Here is a 24,774-nt window from a genome sequence, read left to right on the forward strand (position 1 = left end):
ATGGAATTATATCTGCACAGATACATAGATGCATAAAATATTAGCTCTGGAAAAGACAAGAATGACATTGTTGTAAGGTGGCTTATTGTTTCGTAGATTTAGATGTAGCATAAGTCAGATATGGCCTTGAAATATAATACTATGGAATCTGAATCTATGGAAAAAACCTTTACTATACCATTATTACACTGCTAGGATATGCAATGGAAAAACATTACTGTAGCCTGAGTTGATCCCCATTATAAACTTTGGGACATACAGAATGTGGTTAAGAATGAGTGAAGATAGAGTGAATGACAGTTTGAGTGTCTGAATGTAAGAGAACATGATCAGCATTACCTGTGATAAACAGCTCTGATAATTGGCCACACTGAATGGTTCTCACTCTTATTTCTGAGCCTTTGGTGAGTTGAGTCTTTTCCTGCCCTCTCACAGCCTTCAGCACCAGTGAGCAAGACAAGGATAACTGGAATGGGCAGCTGAAGCTTCTGCTGGAGTGGAACCAGCTGGACTTAGCCAATGATGAGATTTTCACCAATGACCGCCGATGGGAGGTAAGCACGAAGCTCTCCTGGGTTATTCCAGTGTTGGGTCTGGACAGTGGTCTGGGCAATGTCTGATCCATTTCCAACAAGGTCTTCAATACCAAATCTCTTAAAGGATTGTTCTGTTCCAGAATATCAGGATTGCTGAGGCTTAATTTCCTTGTTTGCAGCATGGAATCATAACATTGACTTAGTAGGTTTGTTGTGAAGAGATAATAAAAATAAATGGTATAAAATAACATCAACTCCACATTGCCTTCAGCTGCAAAGTGAGGGTGATTCTCCATCTGGGTGTAGAGATGCAGATCTCCTTCTGGATGTGTGTGGGCAGAAGTATGGGAAAAATATATGCTAGATGATTGAAAGTAGCTCAACTATAAATCCAGACGGCAGCACTCTTTTTGCTCCCTGCCCCCACCTGCCTAGCCAAATTCTGATTAGAGAACCGTCCGTAGTGAGATACATAAGAGACAAATAGAACAACTTGACTGACGCTCCCCAGTGAACGTCTTAGAGCAGGGGTGCCGGTCCATGGCCTGTTAGGAACAACAGGAAGTGAGCAGTGGGCGAGCAAGTGAAACTTCATCTGTATTTACACCAGCTCCCCATTGCTCACATTACCGCCTGAGCTCCGCCTTCAGTCCGATCAGTGGCGGTATTCGATTCCTATAGGAGCGTGAACCCTGTTGTGGACTGTGCATGTGAGGGATCTAGGTTGTGTGCTCCTTATGAGAACCTAATGCCTGATGATCTGACACTGCCACCCATCACCCCCAGATGAGACTGTCCAGTTGCAGGAAAACAAGCTTGGGGTTCCCACTGGTTCTACATTATGGAGAGTAGTATAATTATCTAATTATATATTACAATGTAATAATAATAGAAATAAAGTGCACAATAAATGGAATGCTCTTGAATCATCCCAAGACCATCCCCCCAGCCTGGTCGATGGTAAAATTCTCTTCCAGGAAACCAGCCCCTTGTGCCAAAAAGATTGGTGACTGCTGTTTTAGAGCCAGAAACTCAGGACTTCCCCTAGCCACATGAGTACCTTCAATATGGAAGTTGCACATGCAATAAAAAGTGTTTTTTTTCTTTCTAGCAAACTGCATTTTCTCACTTTTCAATGTGATTAGTGTTTTAGGATTGCATTTTCCAGCAGTATCCTCCCGTGTACAACTAAAGTGCAGTCAGCCCTAGGAGCCTTGTTCAATGAAAATTATTATAAACCATCACACTCAGTTTTATAAGGCTGCTTCTTTGTTTTCAGCTTTTCCAAGTTAATTTCAGTCATTAGGGGGCCGTGATAATATATGTAATTTTATACATGTATGTATAGATTTGAAGGTGCATATATTTCATAACTTTCATTCTTGGCAGACAGGGTCAGAAAACACTTTCAGGCCTATTGTTGTATAATCAAAGACTAAGACTCGATTTATATTAACATGCGATCAGTTTTAATGAGAGCAGCATAAATAAAGTAATGGCTTATGAATTTTTAAATTATTCATTCCCTTAGCAAACATTATCTTGTGTGTGGTGTTTGCAGCACAATGAACCCCGCTGCACATTGCAAGGCTTTAATTAGTGGAGGGAAAGTGGAACTATAAGTAGGTCCAGTCAATTGATTCATAAATGAATTACTGTGTGTGAAATGTTCTATTTAAGTGAGGTCAGATGGTACAAATAAACTTAGGCACATCGTGAATGGTACATTTAATTTTACTAACTCAGCTAAAGATGGTTAAGGGTTAAGGGCACAATGGCTAAGGAAATGGACTCTGGAGCCAGCCCATCTGCATGACTTTGGGCAAATTACTTAACCTCCCTATGCCTCAGTTTCCTCCTCCAGTGGCATGTTAGAGCCAGCTTGTATTGGCTTGCAAGAGCCAACTGCTAAATTTTTAGAGATTTTCTGAGTTGGTTGTTAAATACAGTCATTATTAATCAGTTATATTTGGCTGGTCATAGAGGCTCATGTCTGTAATCCCAGCACTTTGAGAGGCCAAGGCGAGAGGATTGCTTGAGTCCAAGAGTTTGAGATCAGTCTGGACAACATGGCAAAACCCCACCTCTGCCCCCCCCAAAAAAAAAATTAGCTGGGCATGGTGGCACATACCCGTAGTCCAGGCTACTTAGGTGGCTGAGGTGGGAGGATGGCTTGAGCCCAGGAGGTGGAGGTTGCAATGAGCTGAGATCACACCACTGCACTCCAGCCTGGACAACAAAGCCAGATCTTGTCTCAAAACAAACAAACACACACAAAAAAAACCCAAAAAACAAAAAAACAAAAAAATTAAATTATTCAAACTTAGAATTACATAGATTTTATAGAATATAGAATATAGAATTACAAAGGTAATCAATAATCAAAAGATATCATTTTTTAATTATTTGTCTACATTTACTACTACCTTTGCTCTGAAGGCCAATTGTGTATATTGTATCTGGAAGCTGGAGATGCTATACAATGGTGAGCCACTCCACATCTCTTCCCGATTCCATATTTAGTGATGTCACATTGGTAGCTGAAACTTGGCGACAATGGGAGTATTTACACCATAGGAATCAGCAAACACTACAAATTAGGACTTCTGTTTTCTTTGAGAGAACCAATGGTTCAGTGTTTACCGTTACCCAACTGATCATCCGAAAATGGAGATGACGATAATAGCAGTACTTATCTCCTTGGGCTGTTATGATGATTAAATCAGATAATATTTCTAAAGTGCTTAGAACATTGGCACATATGAAGCATTATTTGTTTAAAAATAAAAATATCTGGAATGCTGATAATATTTCTGTGACCTTTTACAGTGCCCAAGCAGTTTCTCTGTGTGTGTTTACTTGCCTGTCATACCAGTCCACAACATGGATGATCCCCTTTGTGGTTATTAAATCAGGGCTCCATCGGTATCATGGCAGGGGGAGTTGCTGATAGTTTTTTGAGGGCCTGGTCTGAACTTGAATCTCTGAGAGGAATTTGACCTGTGTTAGCTTATTTCATCCTCGCAACCATCTATTTCTTAGAAGAGCAAACCGAGGCTCAGAGACACAATAATCCAGGTCACATGGCTGGAAAATGGTAGAATCAAGGTTGAGAGCAAAGATGTGACTGACGGCAAAGCCTCTTCTCATATGCTGGTGGTTCTCAAGGTGTGGGTCCTGGACTGGTGGCGGCCTGGGAATAACCTTGGCACTTGTTACCTTGGAAATCACCAGGCTCCACCTCAGATTTGCAGAAATTCCAATACTGACTCCCAGCATTCTGCATTTACCAGGCCCTCTACATGATTCTGATTAAAGTTTGAGAACCACTGCCCTATGCTAGCAAGTGTGTGACCAGTGGAAAGGCCATTGGATTTAGAAAGAAAAGGGAAATGCTGGACATGAGGAACACTTCCTTTAAGGACAGAGGAGAAATCATAGCTGCCATCTTTCCAGAGGTAGCCCCCTCTTCCCCTGCTGAGCTCTGCTGCATCCACAATGTGGGGACTCAAGGGACCCTTGACAACTCCTTCTCTAGGCAATGTGTGATCCCCATGAGACCAACATTAGGCAGGAACAAAACTAATTAATGCTGCTGTGGGCAGAAGACATCCACCTAGACCAGGGATCAGGCACACAATGTAAGAGAGTAAGTGGGCCGGTGGGTCCCAGGGAGGAGTGGTGGGGACTGTGGGGAGTTGGAGAGCCAAGGCTCCGGGAAGCAGCTGCCCCTTGGCTCCCACTGATGGTTCCCATGTTGATGTTGTTGGAGCTGCTGGTTTTTACTCTTTTCTTGGGGGGCGGGGGCGGGAGACAGAGTTTTGCTCTTGTCGTCCAGGCTGGAGTGCAATGGCATGATCTCAGCTCACTGCAACCTCCGCCTCCCAGGTTCAAGCGATTCTCCTGCCTCAGCCTCCGGAGTAGCTGGGATTACAGGCGTGCGCCACCACGCCCAGCTAATTTTTGTGTTATTAGTAGAGACGAGGTTTTACCATGTTGACGAGGCTGGTCTCGAACTCCTGACCTCAGGTGATCCACCCGCTTCAGCCTCCCAAAGTGCTGGGATTACAGGTGTGAGCCACCTCGCCCAGCCTTTTTTTTTTTTTTTTTTTGAGATGGAGTCTCACTCTGTCACCCAAGCTGGAGTGCAGAGGTGCAATCTTGGCTCACTGCAACCTCTGCCTCCCAGGTTCAAGCGATTCTGGGATTAGAGGCACCTGCCACCACACCTGGCTAACTTTTTTATTTTTAGTAGAGATGTAGAGATGAGGTTTCACCATGTTGGCCAGGCTGATCTCAAACTCCTGACCTCAATTGATCTGCCCACCTCGGCCTCCCAAAGTGCTGGGATTACAGGTGTGAGCCACTGTGCCTGGCAGCTTTTACTGTTAACTCGAGATTTTAATGCTGGAAATGTAGATTTTGATGAACTTTCTAATTTTTAAATGTTGGCAATGGAATAAAATTGTAAGAAATGCTATAGAGGGCACACAGAACATGACTGAGAGCTGGAGTGGCCTGTAGTCCACTGGGTTGTGTCTGAAGTAAACATCGATGATCTTTTCTTGAGATGGAGTCTTGCTCTGTCACCCAGGCTGGAGTGCAGTGGTGTGATCTTGGCTCACTGCAACTTCTGCCTCCTGGGTTCAAGTGATTCTCGTGCCTCAGCCTCCCAAGTAGCTGGGACTGCAGGTGCGTGCCACCACACCTAATTTTTTTTTTTTTTTTTTAGTAGAGATGGGGTTTCACCCTATTGGCCAGGCTGGTCTCAAACTCCTGACCTCAAGTGATTTTCCCATCTTGGCCTCCCAAAATGCTGGTGATCTTTCTTAAGATTATCCGTAAGTTCCTATGGGCTAAGTTTTATCAGAAGCCCAGAATGTAGAGCTAGAGATAGACAACAATCAAGTATTATTGTCAAATGTTCCAGTGACTTATTGGTATGTAACAAGAGCAGACATTGGTTTGGTGGCATGTGGTTTGCATATAGTTTGATGCATTCTATTTTAACACCTGTATTTGAGAATGCAGTCACCATAATAGAAGGTTCCTGGGCATCTGTGAAGGGCAGCAGATCCCACAGTGCAGCGTAGAGACAGCACTGGTGGCTGGGTCATAATTGGTATCTGCTGTCAACTTCAAAGAGGTGGTTCCAGCTCTACTACTACCTCCACACCCCCACCCCCGATTGAGTATTTCCTCTATGTCTCATACTGGGGAAAATTTTTGACCAACATTATCTCTACATGGGTGTATTTATCTCCATTTTAGCAAGGGGCCAAGTCACATCCAAATTCACATCTGGCTGATGACAAAGATTTCACCATGCCATTCTCCTGTTTAGAGGTTTGAACTGTAATCCTCTGTTGTGTTAAAACGGAAAAAAGATAAACTTCATTCTCAAGACAGGATTGAAAGAGAAGTTGAAGATATTATTACTCTGTGGCTGGAAATACAGTGCTACTGAGGAAGAAAAATGCCTAGTGCTTTCCTTACCATATTTTTATAGTATTGTTAGTACTGTCTCTGTTCTTTCTCCTTAGTCTGCTGACCTTCAAGAAGTCATGTTTACGGCTCTCATAAAGGACAGACCCAAGTTTGTCCGCCTCTTTCTGGAGAATGGCTTGAACCTACGGAAGTTTCTCACCCATGATGTCCTCACTGAACTCTTCTCCAACCACTTCAGCACGCTTGTGTACCGGAATCTGCAGATCGCCAAGAATTCCTATAATGATGCCCTCCTCACGTTTGTCTGGAAACTGGTTGCGAACTTCCGAAGAGGCTTCCGGAAGGAAGACAGAAATGGCCGGGACGAGATGGACATAGAACTCCACGTAGGTACTGGGAGAGTTGCCTGCTTGAGTTCTCGGATATTTTGAGGCTTCCCTCATAAGATATCTCCATTTTCCCTACTCCCTATCTTATTGCCATAAAATACTTAACACACTGACAATGTTAATTTTTTTAACTCCCTTTATTTAAGATAAGGTGTCTGTCTATAGGGTGAGTCTCTGCTATTTCTAATATCTTGCTTTATGATCTATATGATACCATATTTCAGACTAGTTGCAGTTTTCCTTTTTTTGTTTTTGAGATGGAGTCTCGCTCTGTCACCAAGGCTAGAGTGCAGTGGCCGAATCTCAGCTCATTGCAATCTCTGCCTCCTGGGTTCAAGCAATTCTTCTGCCTCAGTCTCCTGAGTAGCTGGGACTACAGGCACCTGCCACCACGTGTGGCTAATTTTTGTATTTTTAGTAGATATGGGGTTTCACCATGTTGGCCAGGCTGGTCTCAAACTCCTCTCCGCGTGATCTGTCCACCTCGGCCTCCCAAAGTGCTGGGATTACAGGCATAAGCCACCGTGCCCGGCCTCTTTTTTCTTCTTTTCTTTTCTTTTCTTTTTTTTTTTTTTTTTGAGACAGAGTCCCACTCTGTTGCCAAGGCTGGAGTGCAGTGGCCTGATCTGAGCTCACTGCAACCTCCACTTCCCAGATTCAAGCGATTCTTCTGCCTCAGCTTCCCGAGTAGCTGGGATTACAGGCGTCAGCCACCATACCTGGCTAATTTTTGTATTTTTAGTAGACACGGGGTTTCACCATGTTGGCCAGGCTGGTCTCGAACTCCTGACCTCAGGTGATTTGCCTGCCTCGGCCTCCCAAGTGTTGGGATTACAGGCGTGAACCACCGTGTCCGGCCTCAGGTTTTCTTAATTGCAGAGCTTAGTGTGGTATACTTTCTGAAGGTATCTAACAGGGAATAGGGGCAAACAAATAGCTGCATGCTCCTGTCATAGTCCACCAGCTATGATCTGCTTAAAACAGCTGCCTGCTGCCCATGCGTGTGAAGGACTGAAGAATGGACACGTGTTCTTTTGTGAGTAAAAGGGGAAGTGGATATTTTCAAAGGGATAAATCTGGATATTCACTTGAGACAATTTTGTGGCTGTAACACCTATAATCCTGCAGAACTTCTCATTTTAAGTATAGGAAGGCCCAGTTTCCAATTGCCAGCACCTGTAACTCTTTGCCGAAAGTTTGTCCTGATCAGAGCCCAGTAGCGTACAAATACCCCCACTTGAAGGAGCTGACTTTAAGGTTTGTGCTCTACTCTGGCTCCTAGAGTTGGCTAGTGGGGCTAATCTCTAGTTATCCACCAAGAGAATTGACTTGATAATGCACTTTTTATGGGGTTCCCTTTTGTTCTGGTATCATTTCCTCAGTTCTCCATTGGTTTCCTTGAGATCGTGTCCAAAATAAACGACTTGCCTCAAATCCTTGTCTCAGATTTCTTCTGGGGAAACCCAAACTAGGTCATTATCCTTTGTAATTATGGAATTTTTAGAGTGCGTGTATGTGTGTTGCAAAAATCTAAATGCATTAGGTATTTGCAGGAATTGGAAGTGTTTAGGGAGCCTCTGTTCGACTATATTCATGTGAAATTTCTCTGCAATATGCATAATATGCCTCGTGCATTTTATACATTGGTAAAACCTGTAAAGAAGTTGAAAAGGAATATATTATATATATCCATTTAGTTGTTTTCTACCTGAAAAGTTTCCCTTGAAAGGTACAGAATGGTGAATAGGAGCTGGGATTCTAATTGATAGGTTAGGCATCGAATCTTTGAATAACAGTCCAAAGAAATAAGCCACAGTTTTATGTTGGGATAATTGAACTTAAGCCATAGGAAAGTTGGAATCTAGTTTGAAGAATTTTTTTCTAGAAGAGAAACAGAGTTATATGATGAGAAGGAATTGCCTTCTGTCAGCCTGTCAGGAGTCATTCAGTTTTCAAATTGCTCTCAAGGCTTTTTTCACCCTTTATACCTTTTCATCTAGTTGTACTTTGTCTTTTATGACAGATGAAAGATTTGGTGTCAAAATTAGACCACCCAATGAGTTGCAGAGATGAAAATCCCATCACTGTACTGTGAGAATGGAGTCATGCACAAAGCCACAGAGCCCTCCAAACATGGGCTACTCTCCTAGGGCTTCCTGATCCCAGAACAGTTTCCATTTGCACATGCTGACCACATGCTCTAACCCCCCAGGACGTGTCTCCTATTACTCGGCACCCCCTGCAAGCTCTCTTCATCTGGGCCATTCTTCAGAATAAGAAGGAACTCTCCAAAGTCATTTGGGAGCAGGTAAGTGCCCAAGCCCACATCAGATTTACACCAAATATATGCTTTGTTATAACAGTTCTGATCCTCTCAAAATTCGCATGCCTAATATAAAACATCATCAGTGAAATGGGATGTCTGAGTTCAGATGAACATGGTCTCTGTTCCATGTTGGTGAAGGAGTGCTTGGGAGGGACCGTCCCCGGAAAGTAGTCAGGCTTGGGGGGCAGTCCAGTAGGCACCTGCTTCTCAGGTGTGTGTGGGTGTGTGATTGTTTTCCAAGTGGAAAAGGTATTCACATTTGATTTTAAAAATTAATTTCCAGCTTTATCGCATTATGGACGGGAGGTAGGGCCTGTAAAAAATTCCGCTTTGGAAAGTTTATGGAGAATTTTCCTTGTGATTTAGCATGTAAGGACTTTTGTAAATGGTTTATGGACACTCACATTACTTTATTTTGAGAGATAAGCTTAGATATTGAATATTGAATTCACACACTCAGTCTTAAAGTTACATTGTTCAGGTCTTCTGTGTTCTTACCCAGGCCCCACTCAACCTTTGAGCTATTCCAGTATGAGAGTGAATTAGACCTCCCACTATCACGGTCTTACTGTCATTTCTCATGGCATTAGTCTTAATATTTTTTATATGGTAATTCTATGTTCAAGACTGTGAACATATTCAGGTTCCAAGTTATTTTGTGTTCATTAAAAATTTTACTTTGAATCATTATGAATAGTTCCTAGGTTGAGCTTCGGGCTCCCTGACCCCAGAGCAGTTTCCATTTGCACGTGTTGACCATATTCTCTAACCCGTCCCATAAAATTGATTCTACTATTTCCTGCTTTTGCCATGAATGTTCTTGTTGGACATTAATGTTGACTTGACCACTTCAAGGGATTAAGACTTAACCTTAGGCTGGGCTTGGTGGCTCACACCTGTAATCCCAGCACTTTGGGAGGCTGAGGCTGGTGGATCACCTGAGGTCAGGAGTTCAAGACCAGCCTGACCAACATGGCGAAACCCCGTCTCTACTAAAAATACAAAAATTAGCTGGGCATGGTGGTGGGTGCCTATAATCCCAACTACTCGGGAGGCTGAGGCAGTAGAATCACTTGAACCCGGGAGGTGGAGGTTGCAGTGAGCCAAGATCGTGCCACAGCACTCCAGCCTGGGTCACAGAGTGAGACTCCGTCTCAAAAAAAAAAAAAAAAAAAAAAAAAAGAAAAGGAAAAAAAAGAATTAACCTTAAAATTCTTCACCCCCCTAAAAAGACCAGGGGCTGCACTCTGGCAGCCCTGGGAGCCAGCAAGCTTCTGAAGACTCTGGCCAAAGTGAAGAACGACATCAATGCTGCTGGGGAGTCCGAGGAGCTGGCTAATGAGTACGAGACCCGGGCTGTTGGTGAGTCCACAGTGTGGAATGCTGTGGTGGGCGCGGATCTGCCATGTGGCACAGACATTGCCAGCGGCACTCATAGACCAGATGGTGGAGGTCCGTGGCATGTCCAAGCTCCCCAGTCTGATTGAGGGCTGCAGACCACAAGGTCTGGATGCGACAATCTCCTTGGTCCTGGCACATATGGAATTTTCCAAGAATGAATGTGGGAAATCTTGGGCTCTCTGATCCCATGGCCACCCAGGGCCATACCCAGGCCCAGTTCTAAGCAACTCAGGGAGCACTGGACTACTTTTTTTTGTGGGGGGGGGGGGTGTTTCTGGATGCCGTTACAACATTGTGACAGGGCTGAGATTTTACCTGACTTGTGCCCTAACCAGTTAGCCTGCCAGTTTCATATGCACACACTGCCAGAGGACCCAGCCCCTGGGCCTGCGACACTCATGGTTTCTTACTCATGGCAAAAGCAGCAGCCTGAGTAGCATCTGGGATGCTTCCCCTTGCCTCGGTTCCCAAGGGGTAACTCGAATAACAGTTGCCCTGCAGCTCCCTGAAGTTAGGACATGCTGAGCTTCTATCAGGGCTGCAGCTGAGATTACTTATTGCCTGGAGTGGACGATACTGCACTAAGCATTGCTCTCCTGGCATGTCTCAGGACGCCTGACTGCTGTTTGCTATTCAGTCCTCGAACAAAGCTTGCCAGTGCCCTTTGCACAGAGGCCTCGATCATTCAGGAAGGTGAGAAATCCAGAACCGATTACCTCTAAACAGCATTTTAAATGAGAATTTCAGGCCTGCTCAGTTTTTTCCATTTTCACTTGAGTTTTAAGTTTGCAACGAGGTATTTGCATCCAGGTTTGTCTAGTGTCTTATCAAATGTAAACATGCTCATGAGTTTAGCTTGTCCATGTTGGAAAAAAGATGTCTAATTATTTCTTTTAATTTATTAAAATTTCAAAGCAGTTTATTTCTGGATAATTAGGCAATGGCTCCTAATAGTTTTACTGTAAAAAAATTTCCCTGAGGATCTACACTGCAATTTCTTTGTCATTAGGTGATGAAATGTAAGCACACACTAATGCAATAGATCAGTGTTTCTTTTTTTTTTTTTTTTGAGGTGGAGTTTCGCTCTTGTTGCCCAGGCCGGAGAACAATGGTGTGATCTCAGCTCACTGCAAGCTCCGCCTCCTGGGTTCAAGCGATTCTCCTGCTTCAGCCTCCTGAGTAGCTGGGATTACAGGCGCATGCCACCACACCCGGCTAATTCTTTGTATTTTTAGTAGAGACGGGGTTTTGCCATGTTGGGCAGACTAGTCTCGAACTCCTGACCTCAGGTGATCCACACTCCTCGGCCTCCCAAAGTGCTGGGATTACAGGTGTGAGCCACTGCGCCCAACCTTTTTTTTCCTCTGTGCCTTATCTGCCAAACAACCTTGCCAAGAAGGCGTAGAGTTCAAATGAGATGGAGGAAGGGCTGCTCTGATTACGGGGGGGTCGGGGGGCGGCGGTGGGGAGGTGCAGAAGGTTAGATCCCTTCTCAGTGGCTGAGGCTCTTCTGCCTGAGCCCAGATGGAAGCCCATCAAAGAGAGGGGCTCCCTCTGTCCAATGCAGCTCAATCCAGTGAGCAGTTATTGTCACCTGCTGCCATCAGGAGCTCTGCTGGGTTTGTCTTGCCTTCAGAAAATTCTGCTATTCAGTAACAAATTGTGTTGTGATGGCATTTTCTATGCCTTTTGTAAGAATGGACTCACGCACAGGCTATTTTTGGATTCAGGGGTTGGCTGGGGGTGGAAGCAGGACAGTTTCGGTCATGTGCAGCTCTTACACCAGCTTCTCTCTGTGCTGATGTCGCTGTAGAGCTGTTCACTGAGTGTTACAGCAGCGATGAAGACTTGGCAGAACAGCTGCTGGTCTATTCCTGTGAAGCTTGGGGTGGAAGCAACTGTCTGGAGCTGGCGGTGGAGGCCACAGACCAGCATTTCATCGCCCAGCCTGGGGTCCAGGTAAACCATACTCAGCCACCAGACCACACGGCCAGAAATGGGGCTTTTATGTCAGATGCTACTAGCAGCATTAAACAATAGTAAAAACAAACCTTATTCTCCAATATAAAAGCCATAGAAGGAGTGGTTTGGTGATGATGTGGGAGATGGCCAAGTATAGGCATTGGTCGAAATCCATGCTTTAAGAGATGGTGCAGGACAAAGAATATTCTTTGAGTTTCCACTAAGCAAACAACACAGCATCATAATTATGAGCTGTGTCTCTGGATCCCACTGCCTGGGTCTCCATCCGCTGTACCCCTAATGAAGTGTGTGATGATGGGCCAAGTTACATGAGCTCTCCGAGTATTAGTTTCCTCATCTACAAAATGGGGATAGCAGCAGATAAAGGGTTATTGTGAAGATTTAAGGAGATAATATGTGAAAGGTGTTGGTCCTTTATTTAGCTATTGCTATTGCAGTTATTATTAGTAGTGATAGCAGTAGGGAAACTATTGTGAAATGGGTAAAAGCTGTCTAGAGGCTTTCTGCACTGAAGTGAATGAATCGTAGTTTGCACCTGGTGTCTTAGGCTGCAGAGCAGAGCTTTTCACCCACAGTTCCAGTTGTAGAAATGTGGGTGTGAGAAGGGGAGGGGAAAAGGAAGAGATGGAGAGACCAACGCTTGTCAGCCACAGCTGCTATACACTAGGCCACATTTCATCTTCACAGCACCTGTGGGGATGGGTGCCATCCCATTTCACTGAGGAGGATGCAGGAGCTCAGAGAGGTTCTGGAATGTCCTTCCAGCTTGCACTGCTGTGAAGTAGCAGCACTAGGATTGGCTCTCATGTTGATTGCCTGCAACTTTCATGTCCTAGACTTTCCATGATATCATACAGCCAGATGTTTACGAACAAAACCCATTTACTACTGCAACTAAGCTAGACTAAATGAGAGCATTGATCCATGACAAGGAGCATGCGGAGAGCGTCTTGCTATTGCTCAGTTTTAGCCTCTGCTGCAGTGTAGTGGGTAGAAGTAAGGCTGGTGCTGGAGTCGGGGTGTGCCTGGGAGGCTGGGGTGGCTTCCCAGGTGGGTCACACTCTACTTATGTCTTCCTGGGCCCCAAACCCTATCTCGCTTGTGTCCCAGAACTTGGGGCCCTGGGGAGTCTGGCTTTTACTCCTGTCCAGGTTCACAGATCCTGAGGTTTCAATCAGATGCCAGGTCATTCATTTCACTGAAAATCTTACTACCAGGCCACAGGATCACCCAGTGGGCCTGGCCAGGGAGTTTTCTTTCTATAGTCAGGGTGCTGTGTGGGGTCAGAATGCTGCCAGTGACCATGGAACCCAACCCAGTGCTGTAATTTCCGTGACTGGGGCCTGACGGTGATGCTCAGTGATGGCCTGGCGTCTGCATCACCCCAGCAGAATAGGAGAGTGAGGAAGACTAAGCACTGCCTGTCTCCGTTGCCCGCCACCCCCGCACCCCCTCCCAAGAAGCAAACCCCAAAGTGAGGATGTCAATACAAGGAGTTTATTCTGGAGGTGAACCTGGGAAGCACAGGAGGCACCAGTGAGACAGGGAAGGGACAGGGACAGACAAGATGTGCTGATGAGGAGGTTGCCACTGTGGGCACCCGGGGCTCAGCCTGCCAGGGACCTCTGGGAAACTGTAGAACCAGCTTCAGTGTTGCCCGGCCCAGTGCAAAGCAGTCGGCCATTTACCCACCAACTGCAATTGGTTGTTTGTGGAAAGCTGACACCTTATTCCAGGACACTAGTCCTCATGGGTCAAGCACGCACCTGGCTGGAGTAGCCCTAGGCAGGGGCCCTCAGAAGCAGCCATCCTCCTCCAAGGGCAGGGCAGGTGCCCAGGGCCAGAGGGGTGCATGTCAGTCCCAGCCCTCCTAGCTAGCACTGAGAAGGCCCTGGGTTTCCCTTTTCCTCTGTTCCTGAGACACACCAAACTCCTTCTGCTTGACGGGCTATTTTTTGAGAGATGTGGGTCCTTTGATGTGGTCGAGTCTATGCTCCCCTGCTAACTCTCAGAGCTACTGTGAGTTTTCTAATTTCCACCTTTGTGAAAGTCCCTTCTGTCCCAACGTCAAGGGTTGATACAGTCTGGGGAGAGCTTTTACATGCATTTCAGCCTGAATTGATGTCAAGACATCAACAGTCTCTCCCTTCCGAACTTCCTTTTAGTTTCCTGACAAAAGCATCACCTGTCTTTCTCCAGAAATGAATCGTTGGGGACCCTACAGGTAGTACTGGCTGTGCCTGTGAATTTGTGATCATTGAAGACAAAGGAGCCAGAAAGATACTTGTTTAAACTTACCTAATAAAAATGAGAGTTGGATAAAAATTCCTAGGTTTATTGAATTTGAACGTACACAACTATTACTTTAAAGTGCACATAATGCAACTCAGAAAAAGACTTAAAATAAAACCAAGTTTGGCCAGGCATGGTGGCTCACACCTGTAATCCCAGCACTTTGGGAGGCCGAGGCGGTGGATCACCTGAGGTCGGGAGTTTGTGACCAGCCTGACCAACATGGAGAAATCCCGTCACTACCAAAAATACAAAAAAAAAAAAAATTAGACAGGAATGGTGGCACATTCCTGTAATCCCAGCTACTCGGGAGGCTGAGGCAGGAGAATCGCTTGAACCTGGGAGGTGGAGGTTGTGGTGAGCTGAGATTGCACCATTGCACTCCAGCCTGGGCAGCAAGCGTGAAACTCCGTCTCAAGAAAAAAAACAAAAAACCAAGTTTTAAATTGTTTTTTTTAACACTGCCCCTTAGAATCCAGGCAACTGGTATAAAAGAATAATGACATTAATTCAAAGAGCTGTGTATTTTGGGGAAAGTGTGGGGCGGGGAAGAAAGTTTGCATGGCATCCTGCATACAATTGTGTTAATAAGGACCTTGTTCTCTGTCTTTGTTTCCCTGTAGAATTTTCTTTCTAAGCAATGGTATGGAGAGATTTCCCGAGACACCAAGAACTGGAAGATTATCCTGTGTCTGTTTATTATACCCTTGGTGGGCTGTGGCTTTGTATCATTTAGGTACAAACCAAGGCACATAATCGTGTGTGAGTGTGTGTGCCAGTGTGTGTACATGCATCCACATATGTGTGCTCTCATGTAAATGATTAAAAAGCCTGGAACTTATGATGTTTACATTGTTGCCTATGAATTTGGTCTTGTTTCTCCCCTGACTTTTCCTGGGTTTCCTCTTAAATGGGTAGGGGTGGGGTTGTGTCTTTAATATCTGGGGCAGAATGTGGATTTGTTAATTGCAAAATGCCAAGGATTTAATTGGGGTTGGTTCCATCTTAGGACACGGTTTTGCTCCCGTCTCTTCCTCCTGGCTATGGGTCTGTATTTATCTATGTTTGGAAGGAGGGGAGGGCTGTGCCCGTCCCATGCTTGCAAGGATGCTGACGATGCCCTTATCTCTGGGTCCAGGAAGAAACCTGTCGACAAGCACAAGAAGCTGCTTTGGTACTATGTGGCGTTCTTCACCTCCCCCTTCGTGGTCTTCTCCTGGAATGTGGTCTTCTACATCGCCTTCCTCCTGCTGTTTGCCTACGTGCTGCTCATGGATTTCCATTCGGTGCCACACCCCCCCGAGCTGGTCCTGTACTCGCTGGTCTTTGTCCTCTTCTGTGATGAAGTGAGACAGGTAGGGCTGCCATGACAGCAGGAACCCCCTCGCTTCCTCGGTGGGAGGCATCTTTCTAAAGCCAAGAGGAATAGAAGTTGCTTCTGAAGTTCAAAAGTCACTATTTTCCCAAAATAAATGTTCTCTTTGGGTGCTAGTCCATGAGTGTGAAGGTGCATTTTCATACCCTTAGTAATTCAGTAAGGTCTCCTAGTACCAAGTTTATTCTTTGCTCTCTAATGAATGTTAATTGATGGAGATGAATTAGTCAGGAATGGGGGAGTGTTCAAAGAGAAGAGAGACCCTGGATGATAAACCCACTGCTGTCATCAGGAGTGGTTTGTGTTCCTGCCATTACCGTGGCATGATAAGTGGCAGGGAGCTGGCAGGACTTTTGAGCTAAGAGCATCTTAATGCCCAGCATGTCAGATTGACAATGTTTTAAAGTTGTGTAAGTCCCTGTGGGTCTCAGGGAGCTGGTGTGAATTATTCATGGTGCTTTTCTGCAGTTTCTTGGGACCTTCATTTTTTGGCGTCGTCTCTCTACCGTTGAACCCAGAAGTCTAGCTCAGGACTCATGTGTAGCAGGCACTTGATTAGTAATGGTTGAAAAAATAAATATTGATGGTGAAAGTGGTGTTATCCCTAAACCATTATGAAAAGTCATCCCAGAAAATCTTTTCACACTTAGCAGTTTACAAATTGTTTGACAACTACTGTTGTTGTCGTCACTGTTGTCCCCTCTGAACCTAAATGCAAAAATACATCAATTCAGCAAGTGTGTGCTAGGCACTTACAGTTTCCGAGGTACAATGCCGTGTGCTATGATAGATCTGGAGGGGGCAAAGAGTGCTGTTCTTGCCCTTACAGAGTCACTGACTCGTGTAAGAATCCTAAGTTGGCTTAAAGTTTCATGCCAACTCTGACAGACTTTTTTTAGTGACTTCTAGCCGTCCTGGGTTGAGAAAGATTCCAAGGGTCTGTCTGTTCTCAGCGGGAGAGCATTTTGATCGATTAGTGATGTCTGCCATGGGTATGACCTGGGGGAAGAGTCCTGACACCAGTGCCCTGTGTCTGACTTTCCTTGCCTAGTAGGTCTGAGGTGCAGATGGGGAATGGAGCTGGGATGGAGGTGGAGGAAGTGTGTCTGGAATTGGTGGGTTCTTGGTCTCACTAACTTCAAGAATGAAGCCGCGGACCCTTGCGGTGAGTGTTACAGCTCTTAAGGTGGTGCGTCTGGAGTTTGTTCCTTCTGATGTTCGGATGTGTTCGGAGTTTCTTCCTTCTGGTGGGTTCGTGGTCTCGCTGGCTCAGGAGTGAAGCTGCAGACCTTTGCGGTGAGTGTTACAGCTCATAAAAGCAGTGTGGACCCAGAATGAGCAGTAGCAAGATTTATTGCATAGAGCGAAAGAACAAAGCTTCCACACTGTGGAAGGGGACCCCAGCAGGTTGCCACTGCTGGCTCGCGCAGCCTGCTTTTATTCTCTTATCTGGCCCCACCCACATCCTGCTGATTGGTAGAGCTGAGTGGTCTGTTTTGACAGGGCGCTGATTGGTGCGTTTACAATCCCTGAGCTAGACACCAAGGTTCTCCAGGTCCCCACTAGATTAACTAGATACAGAGTGTCCACACAAAGGTTCTCCAAGGCCCCACCAGAGTAGCTAGATACAGAGTGTTGATTGGTGCATTCACAAACCCTGAGCTAGACACAGGGTGCTGATTGGTGTGTTTACAAACCTTGAGCTAGATACAGAGTGACGATTGGTGTATTTACAATCCCTGAGCTAGACATAAAGGTTTTCCAAGGCCCCACCAGAGCAGCTAGATACAGAGTGTCGACTGGTGCATTCACAAACCCTGAGCTAGACACAGGGTGCTGATTGGTGTGTTTACAAACCTTGAGCTAGATACAGAGTGACGATTGGTGTATTTACAATCCTTGGGCTAGACATAAAGTTTCTCCACGTCCCCACCAGACTCAGGAGCCCAGCTGGCTTCACCCAGTGGATCCCGCACCGCGGCTGCAGGTGGAGCTGCCTGCCAGTCCTGCGCTGTGCGCCCGCACTCCTCAGCCCTTGGGTGGTCGATGGGACTGGGCGCCATGGAGCAGGGGGTGGCGCTCGTGGAGGAGGCTCGGGCAGCACAGGAGCCCACTGAGGGGGTGGGAGGCTCAGGCATGGTGGGCTGCAGGTCCCGAGCCCTGCCCCACGGGAAGGCAGCTACGGCCCGGTGAGAAATTGAGTGCAGCGCCGGTGGGCCGGCACTGCTGGGGGACCCAGTACACTCTCCGCAGCCACTGGCCCGGGTGCTAAACCTCTCATTGCCCGGGCGGGCAGGGCCGGCCGGCTGCTCCCAGTGCGGGGCCCGCCAAGCCCACGCCCACCCGGAACTCCATCTGGCCCGCAAGCTCCACACGCAGCCCCGGTTCCCGCTCACGCCACTCCTTCCACACTTCCCTGCAAGCTGAGGGTGCCAGCTCTGGCCTTGGCCAGCCCAGAAAGGGGCTCCCACAGTGCAGCGGTGGGCTGAAGGGCTCCTCAAGTGCCGCCAAAGTGGGAGCCCAGGCAGAGGAGGTGCCGAGAGCAAGCGAGGGCTGTGAGGACTGCCAGCACGCTGTCACCTCTCAGAAGCGTAAGGTAAATGACTCATGTCAGTGTTGAACAGCAGGATTATCAGGCTTCACCTACCAGCAATTCTTGCCCCAGGACGGGGCCCTGCTATGTGCAGGGAATTTCCCCAACTTTGGATCAGCCCCATGGGAGTCCCATGCACTGCCCTGGGAAGTCACAGCTCTGCCCAGGCCATGCCCTCGGTATTAGTCTGTAGGGCTGCCAAGATGAAGCACCATAGACCTCATGGCTTTAATAACAGAAGTTCATTGCCTTATGGTTCTAGAGGCCAGAAGTCTGAGATCAAGCTGTCAGCAGGGCTGACTCCCTCTGGAGGCTGTGCGGGAGACTCTGTCCTAGCCTCTCCTCTAGCTTTTGGCGGCCAGCTGGCAAGCTTCACCATTCCTTGGCTTGTCGATGCATCCCTCTGATCCCTGTCCTCATGGGTGACTCCTGCATGAGTGATTGTGTCCAAATCTCCGCTCTCCCTGGGGACATTCGTCGTACTGGATCAGGGGTCACCCTACTTCAGCATGACTTCCTCTTTACTTAATTAGTTATATCTGCAATGCCCCTGTTTCCAAACAATGTCACATGCCAAGGTACTGGGGGCTAGGACTTCCATGTTTGAATCTTTGGAGACACAATTTAACCTGTAACACCTAAAACGAGTCTCTTTCTCTTAGCTGCCATCCTACTTCCTAGCTCTGTGTTGTGCCTTGCTATGTATGTGTCAGCAGCAGCGAGGGAATGGGAATAGTCTGTTTGAGGGAAGCAGAGAAAGACTGAAGGAGATTCATCATTTAAAACAGGGTGGGCCCAGACCAGAGTGAGGAAGTGAGAGAAGCAGCCCTCATCCAGCTAGGAGCCCTGGAGCCACGGTGCGGGAGCTCACTCTGGGTGAGGCCCTGCGTTTTCCCTTCTCCCGACCTGGCGTGGTTTCCTCCACTCTCACTTGTAGTTGACCATGACAAAGACCCTTTTCAAAGGCATTTCAGGGACAAAAAGACAGCATTCCCAGCTTAGCTTTTGCAAGAGGGAGGGGCTGAAAGGGTGAGATTGGGGGTTTTGTAGCACTGGAGGGGGAAGTGTCCCAACACCCCCTACCTCTCATTCCCTCTGAGGGACTGGCTGATGTCTTATCACGGACTGGGAACAACTGGGACAGTGTCTGCCCCACAAGTGGGGTAAGTGCCAAATTTTTTTTGTTTTTTAGTTTTTTTGTTGTTTTTTTTTGAGACTGTATCTTGCTCTGTTGCCCGGGCTGGAGTGCAATGGCGTGATCTTGGCTCACTGCAACCTCCACCTCCCAGGTTCAAGTGATTCTCGTGCCTCAGCCTCCTGAGTATCTGGGACTACAGGCACGCACCACCATGCCCAGCTAATTTTTGTATTTTTAGTAGAGACGGGGTTTCACCATGTTGGCCAGGATGGTCTCAATCTCTTGACCTTGTGATCCACCCACCTCGGCCTCCCAAAGTGCCGGGATTATAGGTGTGAGCCACTGCGCTCGGCCACCAAAAGGTTTTGACTGGTCTGTGGAAATTTTTAACCTTGGAGGGCAGCCCGCTGGTTCCTGGCAGGCCTTTTCTGGCACAGCTTCCTGGAGAGGCAGCTGGACCACCTGGGAGGTCACACAGGCCTCCAACCCTTGGTGGTGACTCATAGGCAGGATCTTGAGCTCTGTGGGGGCAGCAGAGTTTGCTGGAAGAGGCACGGCATCTGTAGGAACTGGAGCAGCACACTGCATGACTCAGGCGACCAGCCTGACATCTCAAAGGTAGCCATTGAGTAGAATCAAGTGACACTGGATTCATAGCCTGGTGGGGAAATGAGTCATGAGCACAAATTAGCAGAGAGAGAGAGAGAGACAGAGAGAGAGAGAGGCAGAGGAGAGAAATGTGGAGGTGGGGAGGGAGAAAAAACCATCTGGAATTGCAAATGGCTGGTACAATAGTAACTTACTGAATTTTTTTTGACCTGCAAGAGGTTATTTAGAGAATAAGAGGATGGGCGTCTGGCATGGTGCCCTAGTGCATCTCTTCTTGCATCAACCCCACTGGGAGGTCCTTTGAGCTTTTCCAGTTCCTAACACATACTCTGTTGTTGCTCAGAATTGCGTGGCATGGGAATGATTTGATTTAGATGTTTATTTCTTATTCACATTTGGTCCTCGGGCTAGCACAGGTGTTGGCACCGACACGTTTCTGACAAGCATGTGTGTTTTTAGTAAATGCATTGATGAAGCACGGTCTTCATAATTCAACTCAAGGGCTGTGTGCCCTGGAGTGGCCATGGTAACACTCAGGAGACCAGCGCTGGGGAGCTGGAGAGGAACCCTGCCCACAGCCCCACAGCCAGGAGCTCAAGGGTGTTCTCTAGGGCAGAGGGCGCTTTGGTGGCCTCTTCTCAGAATGGTTGATGAAAAGTCAAAAGTCTTTTTTCTGCTACTTTTCACCCCTCAGGCTCCCAAACATTTCTCTACCTGTCCCTGACCCTGCCTCCCTTGCTGCATTAAGGCTTGGAAGCTGCTGTGCAAGTCCAGACGTTGTTTGACTCCTTTAGGCATCTAAAGAAACCAGAGGCTGGGCACGGTGGCTCCCGCCTGCAATCCCAGCACTGTGGGAGGCCAAGGCGGGCGGATCACCTGAGCTCAGGAGTTCGAGACCAGCCTGGCCAACATGGCAAAATCCCGTCTCTACTAAAAAGTACAAAAATTAGCCGGGCATGGTGGCGCGTGCCTGTAATCCCAGCTACTCAGGAGGCTGAGGCAGTAGAATCGCTTGAACCCTGGAGGCAGAGGTTGCAGTGAGCTGAGATTGCACCACTGCACTCCAGCCTGGGTGACAGAGTGAGACTCCACCTCAAACAAAACAAAACAAAACAAAAACAAATGAACAAACAAACAAAAAACACACACACAAAAACCCAGGAATCTGAGAGAGAGGACTTGTTCTGGGTTGCTTTGGAAGGCAGACCTTGGCCTGGATGGAAGCTGCAGGGAGATTTGTCTTGGCTTCATCCAAATATTTCATTCATGCATTCTTCCTTTCAACAAATACTTCACACCCCTACTTTGTGCCAGGCACTGTTCTAGACAGCAATGGACCAAACAGACGAAGATCTCTTCCCCTATGGAGCATTCTACCAGTTCCTGATGATTTCCAGGAGCTTTCGAGGAGAGGAGATGAGCATCGGCAAGCAGCACTAAGTGGGCGAGTCTTACACTTACTGGGAGGTTGGCCCAGAGGACTTGCAACAGTAAAATCCGAAGTCTGTAAATCACAGACAACTCTGTGCCAATTTCCTGTGTGCATTTAGCTACTAAGTCACCTGTTTGGGTCATGCAGGAGGAGACTCAGGAGAGGTACATTTTCCTTGGAGAAAGGCCCTGGGCAGGGTTAGCATGAGGTGTTTTTGCTCAGGGAGGACACAGGGCAGGGACATGGGGTGGGAGTAGACAGGGGCAGGTGCGCAGGAGAACTGAGGAAGGACAACGTGCTGTGAGTAATTCCCAGGGGCTGCGGGAGGAAGGGTGGGGGTCTGGCTGACCCCTACCTATTCTGTCTGCTTTCATTGTGGGTGATGCTGGCTATGGGGGGATGCTTACTAAGTATCTCTTCTTGTTATTTTTAAGAACGATCTTTGAGTGGGCCACTTTTAACTCAGCAATCCTGGGTATGAAAGCAACAGTATGGGAAGCACCCTGTGCTTAGGGTCAGCAGTGTGTGTTCCAGGTGGCTCTGCCATCCGAGGGCTTTTCTGGCCTTACAACTCTGATTCTGGTACATGAACAGGTCTGTAGAACATAGCCATGGAGATTCTTATCGTTAAAATAATCCGACACTTGGGGTCACTGTTTCTCTTCTGGTCTGCAGACTCATGCATTTGACATCCTAAATGGGATTGCTTTCCTCTAAGAAATAGTTCTGCTGGCCTGGTGCTGTCTTAATTAACCTAGTTTACACTTGTTAGGGGAAAAAAAGAAAAAAGAACCCAAGCAGGGTGTGACCTGATTTAGATTGTGTCTGATTTAGATTGTGTCAAAAAGTCATGCTCTTCCGTGTGTACCTGTGTCCCTTTGCCTGAATGCAGATGTCGAAATGCTGATTTGGAATTTTGAAACGAGGCAGTCAATAAGTGCAAATACAGTTGCTAAATAATCCTTGGGTCTGTTAAACAGACATTGGGGATGTTTATTTAAAATGGATGAGTCCCATCATGCCTTCACGGAGGGCACCATTCAATTTTGAGGCACGTTGAATCTCCAAATCCTGACAGATATGATGAAATAGTGTCCTGGGATTTTATGAATACAGCTTATCCCAGGCATTCTGCTCAGAGAAGAGGCCTCTTTTCCTTTAAAAACACATTATCTCCCTGCGATGGTAACTTGGAGCCTCAGGATTGACCTATTTCCGACGTCGCTCTTCATGTAGGTCAGGCTTCTGCAAGTCTCCCGGGCTGAGGTTGGGCTGGGGCAGTGCCTACCTGCCTCCCAGAGCAGGGCATTAAGCGGGGAGCTAGCAGCAGGGAGGGCCTTTCCCAATCCCCCTTATCTTACCAGGCACCAGAAGAGCAAATGGTTGTTGGTGAGGGGTCCCTGGGGCTGCTAGCACCAGCAAAGCGGACAGTTCCTGTGGCCTCCCCCGAGGAGCCTGCCTTGGTTTCTGAGCCTAGGCAGAATGTTTGAACTGAGTGAATAGGGTGACAAGAATGTTGACAATACATTAGCAGATCTCTTGTCCTTCATTATGGTCCTGATAATAATGGTTATTGGCAGAGACAACTGTAGCACAAATGAAAATATCAAATATATTTTAGCTATATGGCAAGATGTATCTGTTTCCCCTCGATTTTTGTCCATTTTTATTTTATTTAGTTGTATAAAATCACAAAGTAATAATGCTTATCACAAGTGGGACTACATAAAGAATAATCCTGCCCAATCTAGAGTATAATCTTCCACGACCTTCTTCATGCCCATAAAGATATGAATGTATGCAGGTGTTTTGTTTGTTTTTATCCAAATGGAATCCTACTGTGTTCATCACCTTACAATTTGCTTTTTTTTTTTTTTAGAATTTCTCATGGGCATTCCTGCAAGTTAATCTTAGACATAGATCTTGTTTTCAGCCTAGTTTCTTGTGAACACACGTATTTCACAGAAATGGAATATTATAGTGTGTGTGTGTGTGTGTGTGTGTGTGTGTGTGTGTACTTTTTAAGTTGAGCCTTTTTTTCCTTCTTTGTTAGTCTCCCTACGGACTTTCTCAACCTTTACTCTAAAGACAAGGCCTCTCAAGCTATGTTAATAAACTGCTGTGTCTCTTTCTGCTTTTATTTGGTCCATGTGCTATGTACACACACTGTATTACATCAAACCTGAGATGTCATTTTTTTCACTTTTTAACATCTCTGAAACTGCAATTTCTTACAATCTGAGGTTTAATGAAATAGGGTAGGCATATGTATGTTTGGGGGCTTTTTTCTTCGTTCCTGGTTTTACAAAAACAATATTCTGTTTCCCATACTTTTCTGCATTTTGCTTTCTCTTTTACTTTGTGGAAATCTCTTCAAGACAAATGACATCACTCTGTTCCTTTTTAAAAACATGATTGTAGTATATTCAATATTCCTTGAATGATGGACCACATCTTTTTCCTAGATTATGCTTTTCCCTGCAACAAAAATGCTGCAATAAACATCCTATTTACTGAATAAAAAAGAGAGAGAGTTTAGCCTTCACACAGTGACTGGACTGTTGACACACCCCACGGTGCTGCCCCAACCTGGGGGATTTTAACATTTCCTGGGTGCTTGATTTCATAGTGCCCTCACCCCCTTGGCCCACTCAAGTTGCTATTCGAATTTATAAATGAAGGAAAGGAAATGCTTCTTGAGAAATTAATGATGTGTCTTGAATCCCTTCCACATCTGAGACTGTAGGACCTCTGTGGGATCTGAAGAAGCAGAGTGATGTGGGGAGAAGCAACTGACTCGGGCTCAGAATCATGAGGTCTGCCACTTGCTGAGCGAGTTCCTTAGCCTCTCTAGGCTGTGATTTTGGCAGCAAAGTAGGAAATATAATATCTAAATATCAGATGGACTCCTATTGGTGAGTTCATTTAGTAACATTAAGAAGTGCCCTCTTGCTTTGGTGACATTTCTTTGATGTTATTTCCCCGCCTTGCACAAGTGTTGGTTTCCATATGTGAATTCACGTAGGGCCTCGGTCTCATCCTCATACCGATCTTCGTGTCGTTTCTTTTCAACATGTTTAACATCTGTCTTTCCCACCAAACAGTAGATTCCTTGAGAATTAGCATTGCACCTAATCCAGTGTTTCTGTGTGCCGGGAGCCTGGCACAGGTGTTTGGAATTCCATGTGCTCTCTGTAAATATATTTGAATGGATGGACAAATGAAAGGATTAGCTGGTCACTCTGGAATTAC

General features: G+C 46.4%; 1 protein-coding gene across 22 annotated transcripts in view, besides 3 other annotated features; it reads left to right on the forward strand.

Annotated features, from left to right (window-relative positions):
* TRPM8 (transient receptor potential cation channel subfamily M member 8) overlaps positions 1–24,774 on the forward strand; it is a 102,150-nt gene that overhangs the window by 37,324 nt on the left and 40,052 nt on the right. For 16 of the 22 annotated variants that reach the window (NM_024080.5, XM_011511810.3, NM_001397608.1 and 13 more), the window contains 7 exons: positions 436–554; positions 6,080–6,370; positions 8,586–8,681; positions 9,932–10,061; positions 11,914–12,059; positions 14,999–15,111; positions 15,514–15,730. In NM_024080.5, coding sequence (NP_076985.4) covers positions 436–554; positions 6,080–6,370; positions 8,586–8,681; positions 9,932–10,061; positions 11,914–12,059; positions 14,999–15,111; positions 15,514–15,730 — 1,112 coding nt within the window. Of the gene's footprint in view, positions 1–435; positions 555–6,079; positions 6,371–8,585; positions 8,682–9,931; positions 10,062–11,913; positions 12,060–14,998; positions 15,112–15,513; positions 15,731–21,626; positions 21,687–21,731; positions 21,823–24,774 lie in introns of those variants that run through there. The other 6 variants (NM_001397620.1, XM_047445804.1, NM_001397625.1 and 3 more) reach the window with 2 other exon arrangements.
* Positions 19,653–20,852: an enhancer, noted in NCBI's record as "CDK7 strongly-dependent group 2 enhancer chr2:234882993-234884192 (GRCh37/hg19 assembly coordinates)". NCBI's record gives its function as "activates an origin of replication core promoter dependent on BRD2, BRD4, P300/CBP, MED14 and CDK7 cofactors, with strong dependence on CDK7, by STARR-seq in HCT116 cells {active_cell/tissue: HCT116}" and the evidence as "EXISTENCE:reporter gene assay evidence [ECO:0000049][PMID:35650434]".
* Positions 19,889–20,183: an enhancer, noted in NCBI's record as "tiled region #14260; K562 Activating non-DNase unmatched - State 10:DNaseD". NCBI's record gives its function as "activates a minimal TATA promoter and a strong SV40 promoter by Sharpr-MPRA in K562 cells {active_cell/tissue: K562}" and the evidence as "EXISTENCE:reporter gene assay evidence [ECO:0000049][PMID:27701403]".
* Positions 22,009–22,303: a silencer, noted in NCBI's record as "tiled region #7512; HepG2 Repressive non-DNase unmatched - State 8:EnhW". NCBI's record gives its function as "represses a minimal TATA promoter and a strong SV40 promoter by Sharpr-MPRA in HepG2 cells {active_cell/tissue: HepG2}" and the evidence as "EXISTENCE:reporter gene assay evidence [ECO:0000049][PMID:27701403]".

The sequence above is a fragment of the Homo sapiens genome, chromosome 2 (genome assembly GCF_000001405.40).
Source record: "Homo sapiens chromosome 2, GRCh38.p14 Primary Assembly".
NCBI classification, from domain to species: Eukaryota; Metazoa; Chordata; class Mammalia; order Primates; family Hominidae; genus Homo; species Homo sapiens.